At 35.9% G+C, this 24,621-nt stretch overlaps 1 protein-coding gene across 2 annotated transcripts in view; it reads left to right on the top strand.

Moving 5' to 3' along the window:
• The window catches only part of EYS (eyes shut homolog), a 1,987,247-nt gene that overhangs the window by 1,929,242 nt on the left and 33,384 nt on the right, over positions 1-24,621 (top strand). For both annotated transcript variants that reach the window (NM_001142800.2, NM_001292009.2), the window contains exon 41: positions 15,352-15,524. In NM_001142800.2, coding sequence (NP_001136272.1) covers positions 15,352-15,524 — 173 coding nt within the window. The remainder of the gene's footprint in view (positions 1-15,351; positions 15,525-24,621) is intronic.

Below are 24,621 nucleotides of genomic sequence, written 5' to 3'. Positions count from 1 at the left end.
ATGAAAGTAGCAGGTTGTTTGCACTCTAACTGGTACTCCACTCTGTCATTCCACTTGTACAAACTAGGAACACAAACAGATGCACATATTTAAAATGTTCTTATGTAGACTTGTTACATGATGGGAGGACAGGTGAAGGCAACTAAAAATAGGATCAGCACAGCATTTATGCCATCTTAGTTCTGTGAAACAATGACAGTGAATCACTACATCTCATTCCAGGCACCATGAAAAATATCACTTAAATCCATACTATTGAGAGAGTAGACAGAAATGTTAACCACACAAAGGCTTACATATTGGGATTTGCTTTCATATGTAGGTTTGAGCCCCTTTAGAAAGGGCAATAGTAAAGCTACACAATTTGACTTCTGAACTACTTTAGTATGAAACCAACGTGGACCCATTGAGTGAGAAGGAAAAAAGAAAGGAGAATGTTTTTATATTAATTACTCCTTTTGCTGAGCATCTCGTCTATGCAAAAGTAGTATATGAGGGGTTCTGGGAATATGCTAAAGAAAGTGGAAGTAAGCACTATGTCATTTAATTTCTTACACTCTAGCTACTCATAAATTTCTTATGTCTCATACATGTATAAGACAGCTAAAGAGAGATTTGTCAAAATGCTCCTCACAGGACACAGTGTTCACCAGGAACACCGGCTCCCTGCAAAGCAGCTGGGAAAGAGGAGTGTCAGAGTTTCTCCTGAAAGACAGAGCCTACCCTGAAGAAAGCATAGTTTTAAAAGACATGAGTGAATCTCTTACTCTCCCTGAACAAATCCCCTCCACCTCCTCACTAGAAAATGATCAAAAGCAAAGCTCAAACAACTGCTAGTCACAGTAAAATTTGTGGAGAAAAAAAATGTATAGTTTGACTCAACCCATGGAATTCCTGAGGACAAAATGTAAGGCTTGGGATGCCACCATCACAGAGCAATAACTTTTGGCATTAGCTTTACCACTATAATTTTATCATTACTTCTCTACAATTTTTAATGAAACCTTTAGATTGCTTTACAAAGTATGCACTCTAATTTGCTCTACAACTAAACTTAATTAGAAGCACACGTTTACTTCACTTTATCTAAAGAGTTGTAGTCATTCTTCAGGGGTTACTACTAAGTATTTTGGGGGTTTTTTTATGTGATAATAAACAGGGATCTAGAAAGTTGCAATAGGAAAGCATATGAAGTTGAAGGTGAAGGTGGGGAATCCATCCCCACCCTACGTTATTCCATGTGGACCAAACAGCCTAACAGTTTGAACCTAAGAGCCATATATATTTATCTTGGAATATATAGTGCCAAGTATAGATAGGTACTTAGAACCATTTGCAGATTATTTTGATTAATATAGAAATTTTATTGAGTTCCGATATTAAACGTAATACCTTACAATTGCACAGGACTTTGTGTGTAACAAAGCATTTTTTAAAATATTATTTCCATTGCTCCTCACTAAAACCCTCTAAATTACTCAATGCCAGTATCCTAATTCCAATATTATAGGGGGAAAATAAGCCCCAGAGACTGTGAGTAATTCGAGAGGATGTATGAGCACCCTGTGAGTAGTACAGCAGGACCCAAAATCAGATCTTCCATTTCGAGGGTCAAGATTCTCTCCAGAATCTAAATAGCAAGAAATGAACTTAAAAACAGCAAATAATTTTAATGAGGTAACAAGAGTGTTAAGTCGCTCTTTATTTACTGGTTGTAACCTGTTCATTTCATCTTAATTTTAAAAAATAACGTTGAAATTATCTTCAGTTGGCACATTGTATTTTCTCCAAATTGAAAATACCTTTCTTTATAACACATATCCTGGGGATTTCATAGATTGCCGTGTGGGTGGAATGCAGTATCTCAAACATGAGGGCCTAAATTTGAGTAACAAATAGACAAGCAATAATGTACAGGGGGAAAGATACATCTGACAAATTTCCTTACAGGATTCTAAAAATTTTTCTTATCAAAATTGTGACCAGTTTGGGGATCCTCTTATTGACATAATTACAAAATAATTACTAACTATGAAGATATACTACAGAGCCAGAAGTAGCTCTTGTGACCATCATTTAATAACATTAAATTTACAGATCCCTGAACTTAAAACAAGTGAATTTTATGGTAAGTAAATTATACCTCAATAAAGCTGTTCAAAAATATTAAGTCTCCCATTCACAGACATTCAGATCCAGTGGCAGCAGCAGTTTAAAGAATTTTATTCCTTTTGACAGTTTTAAACAATTCTTTTCTAATCTCAATATAAGAATACCTCCTTTAAAGAAAAAAAAATTGTGCTTTGTAATATACTTTTCAAAAGTGTTTAAGAAGTTTATTTCTGTACTTATCCTAGTTACAGATTCTTAATTTTATATGGCTCTAAACTTTATTTTTCAACTGAAGCAGGGTAATATTAAATTGAATTTCTAGGTAGCCTTATAGACAGCTCAAAGCTAAAGTTTAATCTTTTCCTGAAAAATAACTAACACACCTTATGAAATATTTGTTAAATGCTCAAGAGGCAAGTACCAACACAGAAGCACCAATTTTATGGTGTTTAGAATCAATTGTAAAAGGAAAACCTCAAAGCTGATCAAAGGGTCTTAACAATGAACAGTTTAATGTTATAAATTTAAAACAACAACTCAAAATGCTCCCTTTAGCTCCCTTCCTCTTAGCTGAGATGGGAGGCATTGTTTTGGTACATAAGGGAAAGTCTTATTCCAAGTAAGGAGAGAGATGGGGCCTGATAAGGTTTCCAGTGTGTTCAGGACCCTGGTGAAGTGATGAAAGCCCTTCTCTCCTGCTCCGAGTTCATCACCACACACAGATCCATCTGTGTTCTAATGGAATTTCTCAAATGTGAGTATCATAAGGCAGAGTTCATTTCAGGCCTTTATGCTCCTGGGATGAGTTCTGATGCAACAAAGAAATGTAAAACTATTTCTGTTCTTAGTAGCCAAGGATAAAAAAGAAAAAAGGTTACATTAAAACAAAATTTTTAAGTGAAAAACAAAAAATGGGTTTAGTTCTTAGTTCTATGTGTGTATGTGCTTGGTAGGTGTCTTTTTTTTTTTTTTTAGGTAAATAAAATGCTTTAATTAAATGGCTATTTGATTCCAAACTAAAAATGTTTAGTGAGAAGAAAGATATTTTACATTTTTGCCAATTTCTTCCACCATGTCTAGCTTAATAGGTGTTTTTAAGCAAGTTTTATTTAAGTGGTACTTTTTTCCTTTATTTTCTTAATTGACAAATAAAAATTGGATATATTTATCATGTAGAACATGATGTTTCAAAATATATATACATTGTGGAATGGCTCAAATGAGCTAATTAACATATGCATTACCTCACATATTTATAATTTTTTCTGATTGGAATATTTAAAATCTACTCTCAGCAATTTTCAAAACACAAGACATTGTTACTAACCATAGTCACCATGTTGTATAGTAACCTGTGACTGAGGACAATATGCAGATGTGTCCCTTTAAGAAAAACACAGTGTAGCCCTGTCATCGTGGCTCATGCCTGTAATCCCAGCACTTTGGGAGGCCGAGATGGGTGGATCACCTGAGGTCAGGAGTTCAAGACCAGCCTGGTCAACATGGCAAAACCCCATCTCTACTAAAAAATACAAAAATTAGCCAGTGTGGTGGTGGGTGCCTGTAATCCCAGCTACCTGGGAGGCTGAGGCAGGAGAATCGCTTGAACCTGGGAGGCAGAAGGTGCAGAGAGCTGAGATCGCACCACTGCACTCCAGCCTGGATGACAAGAGGGGAACTCCATCTGAAAAAAAAAAAGAAAAGCAGTGTAGGAAAAACAAAACTTACAAAAACAAGTTAGATGTTAAAATGAGTGGCACAGACAATAAGTACAATAGGAGTTGGAAGAATGTGGTTGTAAAAATGTAAAATGCATCAAAGATTAAGTTCATAAATGAGGCTTATTTACAACATAAATCTATCAGTGATCACAAAATCTCATTGATTCAGGATTTCCTAATTATTTTTTGTCTTATAAATGCCTTTGAGCATCAGGTCAAAGCCAAAAACCCTTTCTCCTAAAAACTGAACATACTTGGAACACAAAAATGTGCTTATCATTTTAGAGGTTTACAAACCCCTAGAACCCAATAATAGATTCTCTAAGGTCTGCCAAAGTTCCCAAATTAAGCATCCTTTGCTCAGACTGTCTTCTTTTATATATTTTGTCCAACAATGCTTAATTCAGTCTTCTATTACTCCTCATCTGGACATGTAATTGTTTTCCAACTAGTGACCTGTTCCCTAAACACTCCTAACCTTAATCCAGGTTGAATCTTCCTAAAATCCTCTTTGCTCTTAATCATTTTCCTGCTCAAAATGTTTCCTGGTTTTCCACTGCCAATGCAGCAAAATGTAAATTTTTAATCTGTTGTCAAGCTATACATGACTGTTATCAACCTGCCTATTCCTGCTATTCTTTTTCTCTCTGCATTGCAATCAAATTAATTGTACTACTCTATCCCGCCTTCCAAGAAACCGCCTCTCCTTACCAAGCAATCAGCTGAGTTTCTTGTGAAGCTATGGCCAGCTTGGTAACTCATTACCTTGTACTGGTTCTCCTTTTTTCCTCCTCCCTTTGCTTTTCTCTCACTGTTGCTTCCTTGAGAGAGTACTCCCTACTTCCTTGGAATTACCTTTAACTCTGTCTTTTAGAGATTCCAATTTGAGGTAGATAATTTTTCTCACCTATGAGGTTGGCAAAAAGCTAAAAATATGACTAATCTATTAGTGAGGCTGTAGAGAATCAGACACTATTATGTATTAGAGCAAACTAATTTCTCTATTTGTTAAAACAAAGACTGGAAACTGCTCAAATGTTCATCACTAGGTATCTTGTTGAAAAAGCTAAGGAATGTTTATATAATGGAGGACTTCACATACATAAAAAAAAGACCTTTTATATGTTGCTATGGAGTGATCCTCAGGACTTATTAAGTGAAAAAAATCAGGGTAAAGAAACATGTAAGAAAAGGGGATAATAGATATAGATAAACAGATATAAATACATAAATATAGATACACATACAAATATGCTCATATTTTTCTAAGAAAAAAATGCAAGATTACACACACACAATTTATAAATAGTTATCTATAGGGTAAGGGAGAAAACAAGAAGTAGTAAAAGGATAAAAGCTAGACTTTCTAACTATAATTTGCTTTACAGTTTTTATTTGGAACCAGGTAAAATGTTTCACATGGTCAATTAAAAATGAAAAAGACCAATTTTTAAATACTGAAGAAAAATTAGGAAATGAACTGTACTTCAAGTTGGTAGCATAACCAAGCAGAAAAGATTTAGTTCAATTGATTTTAAAACACAATATTTTGACTATACAGTAGATTATAGCCTAAAGACAAAAAGAACCATAAAGAGATTCTATTGCATCCTGTAGTCTTGATGTTAGTGGTAACATTGATATTGTTATTTTAAAACTATATATAAAAATACCCAAATAGCATTATATTTATATAACACATAGATATATATAAACCAAATGAACAATTATATTAACATTAATCATTAGGAACTAGAATTTTCAGCATGAAAGAGATCTAGGCATAAAATCAAAGAAGTAAAAATCATTCTAATCCTTAATATGAACTGGAATTAATGTATGAACTCATTACTTAACTTTCTACTCAGGAGGCTGAGGAGGGAGAATCACTTGAACCCAGGAGGCAGAGGCTGCAGTGAGCCAAGATTGTGCCATTGCACTCCAGCCTGGGCAACAGAGCAAGACTCCACCTCAAAAAAAAAAATCTTTCTTTTTTTTTAAAAAATTTCCCAGCTATATCTGCTAAAAAGATTTAGAAACAATAACTCAGTATCAATGAACACTTCTAGTGCCAAAATTGTCATCTCCAAATACCATTTTCCACTAAAATGAACCAAGACTTCTTGGAGAATTGTACACTCAGCTCTAGGACAGAAAATACATAAGCCTAGATATCTTTTTATGCCTAAAAGCAAGAATGTTAACAAAGACAACTATGGTTATATTAAAAGACAACAGGAGCCTACTTAAAGAGACTCCCACTGGCCAAAGATGAGACATTTTCAGAAAATTATCTTTCCATAGTCAGAAAATATGGAAAACTTATTTGAAGAGTGTAGATTTTAAAATAAGCTCACATTTTTTGTTTCTTTATTATTTAAGTAGCTGGAAAATAAGAGTCAGAGGTAAGAATTCACTGTGGATTTTCATCAAGCCTCCCTACACTGTGGCTTAAGAGTAACCTCTTTTCTCTCGTGGTCTTTTTATAACTCAGATGTCAGTTACTTTCTACCAGACCCTTGACATCTACATAAATTGTGAAGATTCCAAAAGGAATGTTTATCTTCTAAAGTCATCTCTAGCTCACCAGTCTTTCACCCATACTGTGTATTCCATATCACAGATGCCTAAAAGCTACAATCAACTTCTTTAATTTCTATCAAATTAACAAAGCCATTTACATTTTTAGATCAGATTGTTTAGATTGGTGCAGGGGGTGGGGAGAGGTGACAATGTTGAAGGAAGAGGTTTATATCATGGCCACCTAAATAACTTCCAACTTGTCTTTTGGTCACCCCACCACTGCAGTAAATACATGGCAATTCCACTCCAGTTTTTGTCTTCTGTCCTTTGCTTTGCTTTTTTCCAACTGATCTGTAGGTTAAAACAAACCACAAGTCCCTCCTGGTCTCAGGCAGAGTAATTTATCATCTTATTTTGTAGTCCAGGCTCATGTTCATCCCAATGCAACCAGGGTCCACTGTCTACTCCAAGCAGCTCATGTAGTTTCCCAAAGACAGTTCTCTCCTTAATAGGAATTCTGAGTGCAACTGTTAACATACTACAGTGTTCAAGCCCTTAAACCTGAAGAACTACAAAATAAGGCCTACAGACAACTGCCAGTATTTTCATTAGTATGTAAAGAGTCATTTCATCTCATCCTTCTTACACTCTGTGAGGTATCACCAAGGACCTAGGTGAGTATCTCACCAGCAAAGAAAGGAAGGCCATAGGGGAATGTCAGCAGGTGGAGTGATTATTATAGCAACCCGTCCTAGTAAACATGTCGAGTTTCAATATGCCATCACATTCCAGTGTACGATGAGGTTCATTTGTTTTAACACTTGATTGTATATTCTTCAAAGACTTCAAATTTTGAGCATGTCATTTAAAATCCAGCAAATTTTGGCAGGTAAAATGTTATACATCATATCACACTTACCTTATTCCCCCAACTTGTTACTCAAATGGAAATAAGCCATAAAGGAAAGCAATTTTATATGAATTAAGTCATCCACACAGGAGATGACCTGAGAAGATAATTCAGCTATGTTTTCCTTTTTCTTTAAAGAGCAGAGAAATAAGTTATATATGCAGAACTAGATTCCTTTAGGTCGTGTGATCGCCCATTGCTAAATTACATGCGTTTATTATATTATTCATTTGACTTTATCATCACACCACATAGATTTTGTGTCTGTGCTTTTGCTTATGCATAGAAAACCCACAAATCTATAACCAGAACTTTTTTACAGATCCAGCTCAAGGTAAATTTTCTCCAATAACTTTCATTCTCTGTTCTTATCTCAGCCTCAACATATACATAAGAATCTCTCTTGTCCAAAGCATCAAAATCCATATTTGATAGGTAAGCTGAAAAAGTAGGCTAAGCAGAGATTATATTTTTCTGTATTAGCTTCTCATCTGCAATCTGAGAGCTAATAATAGTATTTACTTTGTAGGTTTTATATGGTGATTAAACTTTGATTAAGTACTACATCAAAGTACTTAAAATGGTGCCTGGCACTAAGGTAAAGCCCTAAGAAACTGAATATTATATTTTATATATATCATATATTTCATACAAATACATTATTCTAAATAAAGTAGCAAGTCCTCAGGGTGGGGAACAAGACCATGTTTTCTATTTTGTACTCACCTTGGTAACGAAGTACAATGCTGCTCTATATTCCCTCTTTGGTAATGTTTAGTAAGTGAATGATATTTAACAAAAAACATTAAATCTTCTATTATCTCATTTTCAGTTAATTTTTTATATCCATGTTCATACTAAACTCTTACAGTCTTAGACTTGCCTAAGTACAAGAAAATTAAAATCTTCATGTTGAATTTCTATAGTAATGAGGAAAAATTAACCCATAGAAGTTCTAAGCTATAAAATTGACGGTCAGAACTAAACAATTTATCTGCAATTTAGGAATTCAAATGAGTTTCATTCTAAATGCACAGAAGTAAAATAATTAACTATATTAGTAAGAACATACTCTAATATTCATCTCTTGATTTACTATCATGATGAGCTATTAATCACATTTCCAAAGTGTTTAACATTTTATTCTCTGCTATCATCTGTTTATGTTTGGAGACAGAAGAACCCACAAATTTTTCCTTGTACTGACAATTAAGGATACATAACATTTTTTGAATGGTCTTGAAATAAGAAAACAGTGCTCTGTATAATGTTAATGATTCCTCAGTATAATTTAAGTAGTCTTAGGTATTGTATGCCAGGTGCATGTGTCCCAGCTCTTTGCCTGCTAGTCTATTTAATTAAATCTGCCTTATGTCCTGAACTATCATCAAATTTATGAGCCATGTCCCTAGATGCTTATAGAAAAAAAAAAGCTATTTTATCACCTACTCTTACCTTCAATGCAGTCTAGCTAAAAGTGGGGTTTTTTTCAACTTTTCTTTTAGGTTCAGGGTGTCCATGTGCAGGTTTGTTACGTAAGTGTGTGTTGCCGAGGTTTGGTGTACAAATAATTCCATCACCCAGATAGTGAGCATAGTACCCAATAGGTAGTTTTTCACCCCACATTCCCTCCCACCTTCCTACATCAAGTAGTCCCCAGTGCCTATCGTTCCCATTTGTTTGTGTCCATATGTACTCATTGTTCAGCTCCTACTTATAAATGAGAATATGCAGTATTTGGTTTTCTGTTCCTATGTTAGTTTGCTTAAGATAATGGCCTCCAGCTGCATTCATGTTTCTTCAAAGGACATGATTTCATTTTTTCAATGGCTGTGTAGTATTCCATGGTATATATGTACCACATTCTCTTTATCCAGTACCCTGTTGATGGGCATCTAGGTTGATTCCATGTCTTTGCTATTGTGTATAGTGCTGCGGTTAACATACAAATGCATATGTCTTTTTGATAGAATGATTTATATTCCTTTGGGTATATAGCCAGTAATGGTATTGCTGGGTTGAATGGTCGTTCTAAGTTCTTTAAGAAATCTCCACACTGCTTTCCACAATGGCTGAAGTAATTTACATTCCCACTAGCAATGTGTAAGTGTGCCCTTTTCATTGCAACCTCACCAATGGCTGTCATTTTTTTTACATTTTATAATAGCCATTCTGATTGGTGTGAGTTGGTTTCTCATTGTGGTTTTGATTTGCATTTCTCTAACGATTAGTGATGTTGAGCATTACTTAATCTATTTGTTGATTTCATGTATGTCTTCTTTTGAGAAGTGTCTGTTCATGTCATTTGCCCATTTTTTTAATGGGGTTGTCTGTTTTCTGCTTGTTGAATTGTTTAAGTTCCTTATAGATTCTGGACATTAGACCTTTTTTGTTGTGTAGTGTGTGAATATTTTCTCCCATTTTGTAGGTTGTCTGTTTACTCTGTTGATAGTTTCTTTTGCTGTGCAGAAGCTCTTTGGTTTAATTAGGTCCCACTTGTCAATTTTTGTTTTTATGGAAATTGCTTCTGGGGACTTAGTCGTAAATTCTTTACCAAGCCTGATGTCCAGAATGGTATTTCCTAGGTTTTCTTCTAGGGTTTTTATAGGTTTAGATCTTAAAGTCTTTAGTCCATATTGAGTTAATTTTCATAACATATATAATGAAGGGAAGGGGTCCAGTTTCAGTCTTCTGCATATGGCTAGCCAGTTATCCCAGCACCATTTATCGAATAGGAAGCCCTTTCCCCAGTGCTTGTTATCATTGACTTTGTTGAAGATCAGGTGCTTTTAGGTGTATGACTTTATTTCTATGTTCTCTGTCCAGTTCCATTGGTCTGTGTGTCTGTTTCTGCACCAGTGCCATGCTATTTTGGTTACTGTAGGCTTGTAGTATAGTTTGAAGTTAGGGAGTGTGATGTCTCCGGCCTTGTTCTTTTTGCTTAGGATCATTTCAGCTATTTAGCCTCTTTTTTGTTTCCATATGAATTTTAGAATATTTTAATTCTGTGAAAAATTATGTTGGTAGTTTGATAGGAATAACATTGAATCTGTAAATTGTTTTTGTCAGTATAGCCATTTTAACCATATTGATTCTTCCTTTCCATGAGCAGGAAATCTTTTTTCATTTGTTTGTGTTATCTCTGATTTCCTTTATCAGTGTTTTGTAATTCTCATTGTAAAGATCTTTCACCTCCTTGGTTCCGTATTCCTAGGTACTTTATTCTTTTTGTGGCTACTGTAAATGGGATTTCATTCTTGCTTTGGTTCTCACCTTGGATGTAATTGGTGTATAGGCATGCTACTGATTTTTGTACAGCGATTTTATATTCTGAAATTTTACTGAAGTTATTTATGAGTTCTAAGAGCCTTTTGGCAGAGGCCATGGGATTTTCTCAGTATAGAATAGTATCATCTGCAAGGAGAGATAGCTTGAATTCCTCTCTTTCTATCTGGATATCTTTTCTTCTTTCTCTTGCCTGATTGCTTGGGCTAGCACTTCCATTACTGTGTTGAATAGGAGTGGTGAGAGTGGGCATCCTTGTCTTGTTGCAGTTCTCAAGGGGAATGGTTCGATCTTTCACCCGTTCAGGATGATGTTGGGCTGTGGATTTGTCATAGACTGCTCTCATTATTTTGAAGTATGTTCCTTCAATGCCTAATTGTTGAGGGTTTTTAACACAAAAGAAAGTTGAATTTTATCAAAGTCTTTTCTGCATCTATTGAGGACATGATATGGTTTTTGCTTTTAATTCTATTTATGTGGTGAATCAAATTTATCAATTTGTGTATGTTGAACCAGTCTCCATCCCAGGAATAAAGCTTATAAAAGTGGATTCTTTATGTTTTCCCTTTACTATATTGCTATCCAGTTGTCCCTATTTCACTAACAACACCATACTCTTTCATGGTCCCAACATTTCCACAGGATTGAGAGACATAAAATGGTGACTAAAAGGTGGATTTCCTCGCTCATTAGCAGACTTAACCTCTCTCTTCCTTAGATTCCTTCTCTGAAAAATGAGGATGATGCTAGTACCCTTCTTATAACATAATAGAGAAACTAGAAAGGTTAGAAGACTGCCTGGCACATGGTAAGTGACAAATAATGTTTGTCATTACTATAATTTTTCCTCTTTCATACTAACACACTTACCAAAGCCTTGAAAATGCCTCTCACATCTACTTCAACCTCTGCATCCCCACAGCAATTTTCCTATTCAGGACTTTTGCCTCCATCTGCTTTCTTATCCCAGCCATGACCTATTATATTTATTCATTTGTGTGTTTATTCCATGAATAGTCAATGAAAACTTACAATAAACCAAGAACTGTTTGGGGCCTTGAGACAATAATAAAAAACAAAACAGACCCTATCTCTGCTCTTACGGAATTAATGGTCTAGAGTGCCGGGGTCAGAAAACTATGGTAGATGGGCCAAATCTGGCCTACCACCTATTTGTGTAACTAAAATTCATTGGAATACAGCCACACCCATTTGTGTGTTTTCTGTGGCTGCTTTCAACAATGGCAGAGTTCGGTTATTGCAACAGTGTCTATATGGCCCACAAAGCAAAACTGTAAACTGCCTTGCCCTTTACAGAAAAAGGTTGCTGGCCCCTTTTCTAGTAGCAAAAAAAATATGCTAAGATCTCACTAAGATTAAAATTACGTCACCAGAGAGCTTATTGTTACACTATGCAGTCATCCTACACATAACAGATCAATATTCTTAAAATGTGCCTCCTCATTTGTGTCATTTTCTATACACCTGTCATGTCACTTGAAAGTTGAACTGAAGCCAGGCACAGAAAGGCAAACATCACATATTCTCACTTATTTGTGGGTTCTAAAAATCAAAACAGTTGAACTCATGGAGATAGAGAGCAGAAGGATGGTCACTAGAGGCTGAGAACGGTGGTAGGTAACAGGGAGGTGGGGATGGTTAATGGGTACAAAAAACTAGTGAGAATGAATGAGCAAGGACTAGTATTGGATAGCACAACAGGGTGACTATAGTCAATAATAATTTAATTGTACATTTTAAAATAACTAAGGAAGTATAATTGGATTGTTTGTAACACAAAGGATAAATGCTTGAGGGTATGGATACCCTATTTTCCATGATGTGATCATCACACATTGCCTGCCTATACCAAAACATGTCATGTACCCCAGAAATATGTACACCTACTATGTACCCACAAAAGTTAATAAATAGTTTTAAAAAAAAAAAAGTTGAACTGCCTGAGCCTGCTGTTCAAAGTCCTTTGACACCTCCTTTCAGTGCATACATTTATACGGGCAAATCTCACTCTGGCGGCCTTTCCTAAGCCTTCCCTAAGTAATTCACTAAAATTACTTAGATGCCCATCCACAGGATACCATAATACCCATTTTAGAACTTGTCCCATTTTATTAAAATTGTCTCCTTACTAATCTGATTTCTCCAAAATACAGAAGTCCATGAGGTCAAAAATGGAGCCTCCTGTGTTGTAGAATCTCAGTATCAAGCACAATACTATGCTCAATCCTAAGATAAGCACAGACAGCTAGCCTGTAAAAAATAATAAACATTCTTTAAATAGATACCTACCTCTGTTTTGTTTTTACATTGCCCATTATATAGACACCTCACCTCACACACATACTTCTACAAAATCTACTCCTCCTCAGGGCAGAGTAGTATATGTGGTTAAGGGAAGAAATATTAATGAATTAACATCAAGGGTTAGAAAAATATCACCCAAAGTAGAGAATAACTAATGAAGGCTTGAAATTTTTTTATTATCTCTATTTCACAGGGTGCTATAGAAACCAAGGAACAAAAAGAAAAATCTGACCTTGCACAAAATCATTCTCATTAGAATTATATAATAACTAATTATATATTAAACATATAGCTAATTGTTTCAGACCTAAAAATTCTGAGACAAACTATATGAGGCTCCGATTTGTTATTTTTTCAAATAAGATTTTGGCATCTATATTAAATTATGCTTAATGTGATTTATCTACTTTAATATCCAAGCAAGTGTTTTATTCCCATAACACTATGCTATATACCTTAAATATATACAATAAAGTGTAAGTGAATTAAATAAAATATTTTACCATTGTGAGCTCTGTCTATAAGGCAGTGAGAATAATTTTAAGCTTTTTTCAAGTAGATATAAAATGAACCACTAGATGGCGCAATCGTCACTTTAAAAAGTAATGACAGCATCACGTTTAAAAATTCTTTAATAAGAATTTTTACTATAGTTTTATTTCTTTTGTGAAATTAGTTACTGATTTCCTTTTTTGTGTATGAGGTCTTTGTACATTCTATACTCTTTGTGATCTTCAAAAATAATCTTCAAAATATGCAATTTTGTAGCAGATTAATTCTGTATTTTGTTTGTCTCCATTTTAGAGAACCCTATACAATTTTCCGTTTTTTGCACAACTATTAATTTAGGTGTAACAAGCATATAAAAGTCTATGACATAAATAAAAGGTCTGGGAAGGTGTGATCAGCTGCTGTCCTCCAGCTTAACAGATTCTGATCCCTATACCTCATACCCATTCTAGAATGCGCTTTTTAGACTGGCACGGTGGTTTATTGCTCTCTGGCTCTGACAGGAATTTTAAGTTAACCCTTTCTCTCATGTACTCTTTAGTGTAGTGTTTTCAGAAGAAAGAAAGGGGGATGGTGGGGAGAGAAAGGGAAGGAAGAAAGGGAGAAAGGGAGAAAGGCAGGCAGGGAGTGAGGGAGGGAGGGAGGCCGGAGGGGGCAAAATAAACACACGGTGCCCTGACAAACAACAGTTTATCAAATATATATATATATATATATATATATATATAACAAGATATAACAATAAAATCTCAAATATTATTTATTTAAAGTTCATATATTGCATGGGACATGTATTAGTCCGTTCTCAGGCTGCTAATAAAGACATACTTGAAACTGGGTAATTTATAAAGGAAAGAGGTTTAATTGACTCACAGTTCAGCATGGCTGGGGAGGCCTCAGAAAACTTACATCATGGTGGAAGGGGAAGCAAACATGTCCTTCCTAACATGGTGGCAGGAAGGAGAAGAATGAGCGCCCATTGAAGAAGGAAGCCCCTTATAAAACCATCAGATCTCATGAGAACTAACTCATTACCATGAGAACAGGATGGGGGAAACCTCCCCCATGAGTCAATTTTCTCCACCTGGTCCCTCCCACAACACATGGGGATTATGCCAACTACAATTCAAGATGAGATTTGGGTGGGGACACAGCCAAACCATATCAGGACATACTTCTACTAAGAAAAGTTATTATTTAACTTATGTTTAAATTTAACTAGATGCTCTGCATTTTATCTGACAACTCTGCCTTTGATGGGTCTATCAGAAAGTTTTCTGCTGGGCTCCTCCCAATATCACTCTCTAAACCCAGACAAGGTGTCTCTTTCAGCTGAGTATTCCCCATTACCCCTCAGCTTCTGCTCTAGCCAGAAACCACTTACTGCCACTGTATCTTTAGCTAGAGGGACACCTCTTGGTCAAGATTCATTTTTATATGTCCTCAAGCTATTGTTCCTGACTATGAACATCCCTTTCCTGGGATTCACTCACGTTTGACTTGTCTCCAGTATGTTTGCAGCTCTTTTGGCAACCCCAGGAGCTGAGCCTGTGAGTTTGCCAATGCCAGGGAAAAACACACCAAGCTCTCCAAGTGGTCCTGCTGAATCTCTTTTCACTAGGCTTGAAGTTAGGAGACAGCAACACCATGCACAGCTTTTTCTTTAGGTGGTGGTGTGGGAGTTGGGAGAGAGACTTACAATGCAATTTTGTCTGAAGAAACAATTCTCAAAAAATTCTCTTTCAATTTTTACACTCTGAATCGTTTAAAGTCTTTGGTGTGGAGTCCAGTAATCCTATAACCAGTTATTAACTCTTTCCTTTGACAATTTAGGGTTTGAATCACAATTCATTTTGATCTCTTGGAACTTCAGTTAAAATTGACAAGTTAGCATCAGGGCAATACATAGTATGTATCCATCTCTAAACAAGTGCTCAAACCATGCGGCTTTCTCTCAACCCACAGCTGCAATTGTACCACTGGGTGGAAAGGATCATTCTGCACAGAGACAGTTTCTACCTGTGATCCTGAACATGACCCTCCACACCACTGTAGCAGAGGAGCAACCTGCATTTCATTACCTCATGGATACACCTGTTTCTGTCCTCTAGGAACCACTGGAATCTACTGTGAACAAGGTGAGGCAGAATTTCAAATCATTTTGCTGTCCACAAATATAACTAAAATTAGGAACTTCAAAGTCAGTTTTCTTTTTGAGAAGTAAAAAAGTACATATAATAAAATTCAAATCCACTGTCCTCTTTTTCTAGTATATTTGACATTATACTTCACAGATAGACTAGTACTTAAAATTCAGTAGTACAAAAAATATGGCTTTTAGTATTGCTTTAATTTATTAACTCTAAATTCTCTATTTTGTGTAGATGTTCTAAATGTTTTGTGCTAAATGCAGTTAAGTCAAGTGAGCTTAAGTTCATAACTCAGTTCCAGATCAAGACTTCATCTCTGGGAGCCTCTCCTATCTGTATTTTCCATCTCACTCAAAACTGTCAGAAATATCACAAGGCCATCAGCTTCAGAGGGAAATTAGAGAGGAGAAATGGCCCCAAGTCAAGTAGTAACAGTAAGAAGCAACAGTGTCCTAACTACTGGGGCAACTTATGGTAGTGCCTCTAAAAGAGCTCAGCAATCTCTGGGTGCTCCCAAGCTGGGCTGTGGCTAAGGGATAATGGTATTTCTAGATCTGAGCTACCTTCTCTTTAATACCTGGCTGGGACTTCCAGAATAGCATTAGGGAATCCAGGAAACTCCCAGTTAAGGAAGTTGGAGAGATTAAGCCAGGAAAATAAAGGGACATAAGGACCCACCTGCCATATCCTAGCTTCCTGAGACTGGACTATCTACTATTTCTCTATCCTGCCTCACCCACCACCCAGAAGATGAAGCTTTAGCTCTCTCTTCCCTATTTTAGAAACAGAGGCTGGGATAAAAAGAGTACAGGAGTCAATCACCAATTGTGCTATATCCACCTTTGCATTATTTGGATGTTTTATTGTAGTATCATATTCATATGTGTAAGAAAAAAATAATATTTCTAGATCACTTTATCAAATATATTAATGCAAACATTTTATTCCTATATTCCTTGATATTCTACTTAGGTTTAACTGTCCAAAAGTCAAAATTGTTAATAAATGGAAGACATTTGAGGGTTAGAATAATAGTAGTTTATGGGAAAAAATGTTTAATCATGTCTTAAGAGTGTGATTATGAAATAATGAGATGAAGTTTTGTATCTGGCTTACATAAATCAGTCTCTCATAGTGACATTAGGGATCAATCTTGATCTTTAAGAAATTGTGTTTCTTAATTCCTAGAATATGCCACACTCTTTCCTGGAGTAGAGATTTTGTGTTGCTTCCCTCTGCCTAGAATGCTTTCATCTTCTCCTCCATACCAGGTGCTATCACTTCACCTTGCTAATTTAGGGAAGCCTTTCCTGATTGTCTTTCATAGAACTGAGGGCAGTGACCATGTCTGTTGAGTATCTAGCATCCATCATATAGTGCAGAGCAAAAAAAAAAAAAAAATCGGTTAAATATTTAAACTTAATAGCAATAATAAAAACTGATTATGATGGTTTTCATAGAATAGTTCCTTAGTGAAAGGCAGAGTACTCAAAAATTAACCAAGATGAGTACCTTTATAACTCCCAAAGGAATAGCTTTTAGAAATGGAAATAAATAATATGACAAGTAACGTAAGGGCTAGTGAATTTAACAATAGGGCAAGCCACAGTTTTGATGCTTAAAGGCTCAGACAGTGAAAGTTTGAAAGATAGATTAACCCAAAATTTGTGTGGGTGTGTGGATGTATATAAATAGATTATATAGAGGGCAGATGAAGATAGATGAATGGATGTATAGATAGAAGATTAGATAGATAGATAGATAGATAGATAGATAGATAGATAGATAGATAGATAGATATACATACATACATACATATGTACATAGATATTGGAATAGTCAGAGTAATGAGATTTTACAGAAAGAAAGTCTAGAAGATTTCATTAAAGGTGCCAGAAAATGGGTGACATCCACATAGAATTCTAACACAAAGTTAACCAAAGATATACCTTGATATTCTATAAAATAACAATTTGGTTAGAATACTTTAGAATCCAGAGTACTCATTAAAATATTATACCAAGAATTCTGGTTCACACATTTTGCAAGATAGGCAATATGTCCAGTTACTTTTCTCATATACTCAAGTCTTGCTTATTTGCTCATTTATGTTATAGCTATCTTTCCTGTTATAACTTATGATTTACAACTATACATATAACCTCTCCTAAATCATAAAATCTCCTCTCAGTTTACTTTTTCCTCATATTATTGGTAAATTGCTTTTTTCATGGACTAGTTTAAATACTAAATTCTAGCTATTGTGCACCAATGACATATAGCAAGTTAGATTCCATAATGTGTGAGTTTTTTACTTTTAACCCAGCAAATATTGAAAATGTTTCCTTTTTTGTTTTCACATTTTTTCCATTCATAGTATAATTTTCTTTTCACTCATTTCTAATTCCATAAGATAAAGAAACCCACACACATGGTCATTTTGCATGAAACAGGCAAATGTTCAAACTACTTAAACATTTTTCTCATGCCAACAATTCTTTATGGTCCAACCAGTCCCTGATTTCCATTGAAACTGATTCTTACTAATGGAGATGTTCAATTCTTCAAGCCCTTCCAACACATGGGATGGTTTCCAGCCAAGTCCTTGGTTTTCCTAATAATAGAGAAATTGGTCCAACACACAGTAGATGGCAGTGTCAGGAATTATTACTGTGTTTTCCTGTTTTCAAATACTTGTTTTTCAGGTGTATTTGGCCATGTGGAACACAGCAAGCAATGCACATGCTTTCTTCATAGGAAAAAAATAAGCTTTAGGCTTTATTTCACTACTTTCAATCCCACTGTGATAATTAATAGAGGTGTAGTTACATGTGTATTAGATTCTCTATCTCTATGAACTTATAATAGTCATAAAAAGTAAAAGATAAGTAGGCACTGGCTATGATTCCTAGGAACACACATTTTACTTGTTTAGTCTTCTATGCTTTTCAGTACAACCTGCTAAATTATAAGTGAAACTCGGAGAGAAAGTGAAATGTATATAATAATTCTGAAGTTTATATGAACATCAAGGTTTGTGAGCATTTAAATGAATAGATGTGGCAGCTAAGCCTTAGTAGAGAGAAACAGACACAACTTCCATTTCTAACCTTAGACATTGGGCAAGTAACTTAACTCTCCTGAACATCAGGTTTCTCATGTGTGAAAAGGAGATATTTAAGAATCTCTGTTCGTGGGGAAATTTTGGCTAAAGTCTGGGGAGATTTCATTCTGCTTTTGTCAAGTCCTAAATTATTATTAGTTTTTACAAAACAGTGAGTGAAAAGTTAAGAACTTTAAGAGACATATCTATGAGGTTATTTTTTCAATAAAGTTCTTTTTTCATTTCCATTCAAGATAGCATTAATAAGCACAAAAAATACATACATTGAATTTTTAGTTAGCAATGGCTGAAGTTTCCTCCCTCAAAATGTTTTATATACTGAGTCATAAATACCCTGCCCCCCGTTCTAGGAAGGCAGACAAAAATAGTGTTTGTTTACAAACAGTTTCTACAAATAGGACTTGGTTGCTACTTCCCCTCAGGCAGGTCTGCCCACCTTCTTTTAAACTGAGATGATTGACAATGATGAGATCCAGCCAGTTTGGGGCAATAAGAGGAAGGCTCCCTTAGTTTTTAATTAAAATATTACTGGTGACAAGCAAGTCAAAATTATCATGACCATAGTGGAAGATACAAAGATCAGAAAATAGCTCATTATTTCGTTTCCTCCACTTGATAAAATCTTTAAAGTATACATTAAGAAAAATAGAAAAGCGAGCCTTCTAGTGCCGTGTTCTTATAGCAGCCAAGGAATATCACAAGGCAAATGGTAAAGAAAGCCCTATAGTCTGAGAGGTAGAATTGTCAAAGACTCTTCTAGCATACCTCCAAAAAGAGTATGATAAGGAATCAATAAAATAAAGAGGCCTCCACAGTGCCTAGCATATAACTAGAACTCCATTAGTATTAGTCGCCTCCTACAGAGAAAGAAAAAAAGTGTTAGATTACATTTGGGTAAAATGCAGGCCATGTTCACATAGATATTTTTATCATTTTCATTTTAATAATATGGGTTAGCTTTAATATATTCTTAAGTTGAAATATTTTAAACCTCCTATTTTAAAAAGATAATGTTTTCTATATAAAAGATGTAAAGATTTTCAAACTATAATGATAAATGTAGTAGACATTAAGTTTCCAAAATGACCAAATAAAATGTTTAAAACAACAACAACAATACTCAGCCAGGTGCAGTAGCTCATGCCTGTGATCCTAGCACTTTGGGAGGCCAAGGCAGGAGGACTGTTTGAGGCTAGGAGTTCTAGACCAGCCTGGGCAACATAGCAAAATCCTCATCTCTACAAAAAAAATAGAATAATTAGCCAGGTGTGTTCGTGCATGCCTGTAGTCCTAGCTACTCAGGAGGCTGAAGCAGGAGGAATGCTTGGGTCCACAATTCAAGGTCACAGTGAGCTGTGATCATGCCACTGCACTCCAACTTGGATGACAGAATGAGACCCTGTATCTAAATAGAAAACAAACAAACAAAGAAACTCATTCTCAATAGAGTAATAGCAAATTGTTAAATTTTAAATAATATTTGTGGAGAACCTACTCAGGCAATACGAAGAGATCCAAAGCAGTATAAAATAGTGTCCTTCTGGAATCCTCCCTTATCAGGGGAACCCACCCCCAATATTTCAACGTAGGTTCTTTCTATTTTCCCTAAGTGTCAGTTGTTCTGAGAAATAAAGAGAAAGAGTACAAAGAGAGGAATTTTACAGCTGGGCCACTGGGGGTGACATCACATATTGGTAGGTGTGTGATGCCCACCTGAGCCACAAAACCAGCAAGTTTTTATTAAGGATTTCAAAAGCAGAGGGGGTGTATGAACAGGGAGTAGGTCACAAAGATCACATGCTTCTGAGGCCAATAAAGATCACAAGGCAAAGGGCAAAGCAAGATCACAAGGCAAAGGGCAAAGTCAAAAACTCCTGATAAGGGTCTATGTTCAGCTGTGCAAGTACTGTCTTAATAAACATCTTAAACAACAGAAAACAGGGTTTCAGAGCAGAGAACCAGTCAGACCTCAAATTTACCAGGGTGGGGTTTCTTCCCCACCCTAGTAAGCCTGAGGGTACTGCAGGAAACCAGGGCATCTTTCAGTCCTTATGTCAACCGCATAACACAGACACTGCCAGAGCGGCCATTTATAGACCTCCCCCCAAGAATGCGTGCCTTTCCCAGGGTCTTAATTATCAACATTCCTTGCTAGGAAAAGAATTCAGCAATATCTTCCCTACTTGCACATCTGTTTACAGGCTCTCTGCAAGAAGAAAAATATGGCTCTATTCTGCCGGACCCTGCAGGCAGTCAGACCTTATGATTGTCTTCCCTTGTTCCCTAAAATTGCTGTTATTCTGTTCTTTTTCAAGGTGCACTGATTTCATATTGTTCAAACACACATGTTTTACGATCAATTTGTACAGTTTAACACAATAGTGGTCCTGAGGTGATGTACATTCTCAGCTTACAAAGACAACAGGATTAAGAGATTAAAGACAGGGATAAGAAATTATAAAAGTATTAATTTTGGAAACTGATAAATGTCCATGAAACCTTCATAATTTATGTTCAGAGATTGCAGTAAAGACAAGTGCAAGAAATTATAAAAATATTAATTTGGGGAACTGATAGATGTCCATATTAAAATGAAATCTTCACAATTTATGTTCCTCTGCCGTGGCTCCAGCCAGTCCCTCCGTTTGGGGTCCTGACTTCCCACAACACTCCCTAACTCACTTTATGAGGGCAGCATCATCCTGATACCAAAGCCTGGCAGAGACACAACAAAAAAGAGAATTTTAGGCCAATATCCCTGATGAACATTGATACAAAAATCCTCAATAAAATACTGGCAAACTAAATCCAGGAGCATATCAAAAAGCTTATCCACCATGATCAAGTTGGCTTCATCCCTGGAATGCAAGGCTGGTTCAACATATGCAAATCAATAAACGTAAACCATCACATAAACAGAACCAATGACCAAAACCACATGAATATCTCAAAAGATGCAGAAAAGGCCTTTGACAAAATTCAAGTCTTTCATGCTAAAAACTCTTAATAAACTAGGTATTGATGGAACATATCTCAAAATAATAAGAGCTATTTATGACAAACCCACAGACAATATCATACTGAATGGGCAAAAACTGGAAGCATTCCCTTTGAAAACCGGCACAAGACAAGGATGCTCTCTCTCACCACTCCTGTTAAAATAATATTGGAAGTTCTGGCCAGGGCAATCAGGCAAGAGAAAGAAATAAAGGTATTCAATTAGGAAAAGAGGAAGTCAAATTGTCTCTGTTTGCAGATGACATGATTATATATTTAGAAAACCCCATTGTCTCAGCCCAAAATCTCCTTAAGCTGATAAGCAACTTAAGCAAAGTCTCAGGATACAAGATCAATGTGCAAAAATCACAAGCATTCCTATACACCAATAATAGACAAACAGCCAAATCATGAGTGAACTCCCATTCACAGTTGCCGCAAAGAGAATAAAATACCTAGGAATACAATTTACAAGGGATGTGAAGGACCTCTTCAAGGAGAACTACAAACCACTGCTCAAGGAAATAAGAGAGGACACACAAACAAATGGAAGAACATTCCATGCTCATGGGTAGGAAGAATCATTATTGTGAAAATGGCCATACTGCCCAAGGTAATTTATGGACTCAATGCTATCCCCATGAAGCTACCAAAGACTTTCTTCACAGCATTGGAAAAAAACTACTTTAAATATCATAGGGAACCAAAAAAGAGCTCGTATAGCCAGGACAATCCTAAGCAAAAAGAACAAAGCTGGAGGCATCACACTACCTGACTTCAAACTGGACTACAAGGCTACAGTAACCAAAACAGCATGGTACTGGTACCAAAACAGAGAGACAGACCAATAGAACAGAACAGAGGCCTCAGAAATAACACCACACATCTACAGCCATCTGATCTTTGACAAACCTGACAAAAACAAGCAATGGGGAAAGGATTCCCTATTTAATAAATGGTTCTGGGAAAACTGGCTAGCCACATGTAGAAAGCTGAAACTGGATCCCTTTCTTAGACCTATACAAAAATTATTTCAAGATGGATTAAACAGGATATAGGCATGGGCAAAGACTTCATAACTAAAACACCAAAAGCAATGGCAACAAAAGCCAAAATTGACAAGTGGGATCTAAGTAAACTAAAGAGTTTCTGCACGGCAAAAGAAACTATCATCAGAGTGAACAGGCAACCTACAGAATGGGAGAAAATTTTGTCAATCTATCCATCTGAAAAACGGCAAATATCCAGGATCTACAAATAACTGAAACAAATTTACAAGAAAAAAACAAACAACCCCATCAAAAAGTGGGCAAAGGAAATGAACAGACACTTCATAAAAGAAGACATTTATGCAGCCAACAGACATATAAAAACATGCTCATCATCACTGATCATCAGAGAAATGCAAATAAAAATCACAATGAGATACCATCTCACACCAGTTAGAATGGTGATCATTAAAAAGTCAGGAAACAACAGGTGCTGGAGAGGATGGAGAAATAGGAATGCCTTTACACTGTTGGTGGGAGTGTAAATTAGTTCAACCATTGTAGAAGACAGTGTGGCCATTCCTTAAGAATCTAGAACTAGAAATACCATTTGACCCAGCAATCCCATTTCTGGGTATATACCCAAAGGATTATAAATCATGCTACTATAAAGACACATGCACACGTATGTTTATTGTGGCACTATTCACAATAGCAAAGACTTGGAACAAACCCAAATGCCCATCAATGATAGACTGGATAAAGAAAATGTGGCACATATATGCCATGGAATACTATGCAGCCATAAAAAGGATGAGTTCATGTCCTTTGCAGGGACATGGATGAAGCTGGAAACCAGCATTCTCAGGAAAATATCACAAGGACAGAAAACCAAACACCACATGTTCTCACTCATAAGTGGGAGCTGAACAATGAGAACACATGGACATAGGGTGGGGAACATCACACACTGGGCCCTGTTGTGGAGTGGGGGGCTGGGGGAGGGATAGTGTTCAGAGAAATACCTAATGTAAACGACAAGTAGATGGGTGCAGCAAACCAACATCACACATGTATACCTATGTAACAAACCTGCATGTTGTGCACATGTACCCTAGAACTTAAAGTATAATAATAAAAATAAATAAATAAATAAAATAGTGTCCCTCCATTCAAAGAGCTAACTATTTAGGTTAAGACCAGGCAAAAGTTTGTAAAAATTAAATGTGAGTATATAATTTAGATAAAAGTTCAGGGAAAAAGAGTAAGAAATATCCTAAGATATTGAATGCTTTAATTGCCAGATCAGTGACATGATAAATGCATTATTTCTGCTAGTTGGACCTAAATGGGCATTAGAAAGTGATAGAATTAATTAGGTTTCAAAGGATGGGTAAGACTTGAGTAGACTCATGAGAGAAGGAGATAGCTTTCCTAAGGTGAGAACCACTTCAGAAAAGCATGAGGAGGAATGGAAGGGTGGACTTGCATATATAAGTAAACCCCTTCATCTGAAAAAAACATTTCTAGCAGATAAGGTCTGAATTATTAAAATACCAGTGAGAGCAGAAGAAAAGATGATATGGTTTAGCTCTCTGTCTCCACTCAAATCTCATCTCAAATTGTAACTCCCATGTATCAAGGGAGGGATTGTAATCCCAACATCTAGAGGGAGGGAGGGGATTGGATCATGTGGGGCAGTTTTCCCCATGCTATTCTTATGATAATGAGTGAGTTCTCATGAGATCTGATGGTTTTATTAATATAAGTGTTTGGAAGTTCCTCCTCTGTGCTTCTCTCTCCTGCCACTATGTGAAGAAGGTCCTTGCTTCCCATATAGCAGTGTGAAAATAGACTAATACAGAAGATTTTTTTTAAAATCTAGATTTAAAAATCTCCAGGACTTGTTTACTGAGCTAAAACATATGCCTTCCAAATAGATGGGTCTCAACATTTCTGAATTGGATGATGATTA

The sequence above is a fragment of the Homo sapiens genome, chromosome 6, assembly GCF_000001405.40.
Source record: "Homo sapiens chromosome 6, GRCh38.p14 Primary Assembly".
In the NCBI taxonomy this organism is placed as follows: domain Eukaryota; kingdom Metazoa; phylum Chordata; class Mammalia; order Primates; family Hominidae; genus Homo; species Homo sapiens.
Note: the sequence above shows the minus strand (reverse complement) of the source record. Positions and strands in the feature narration are given on the sequence as shown.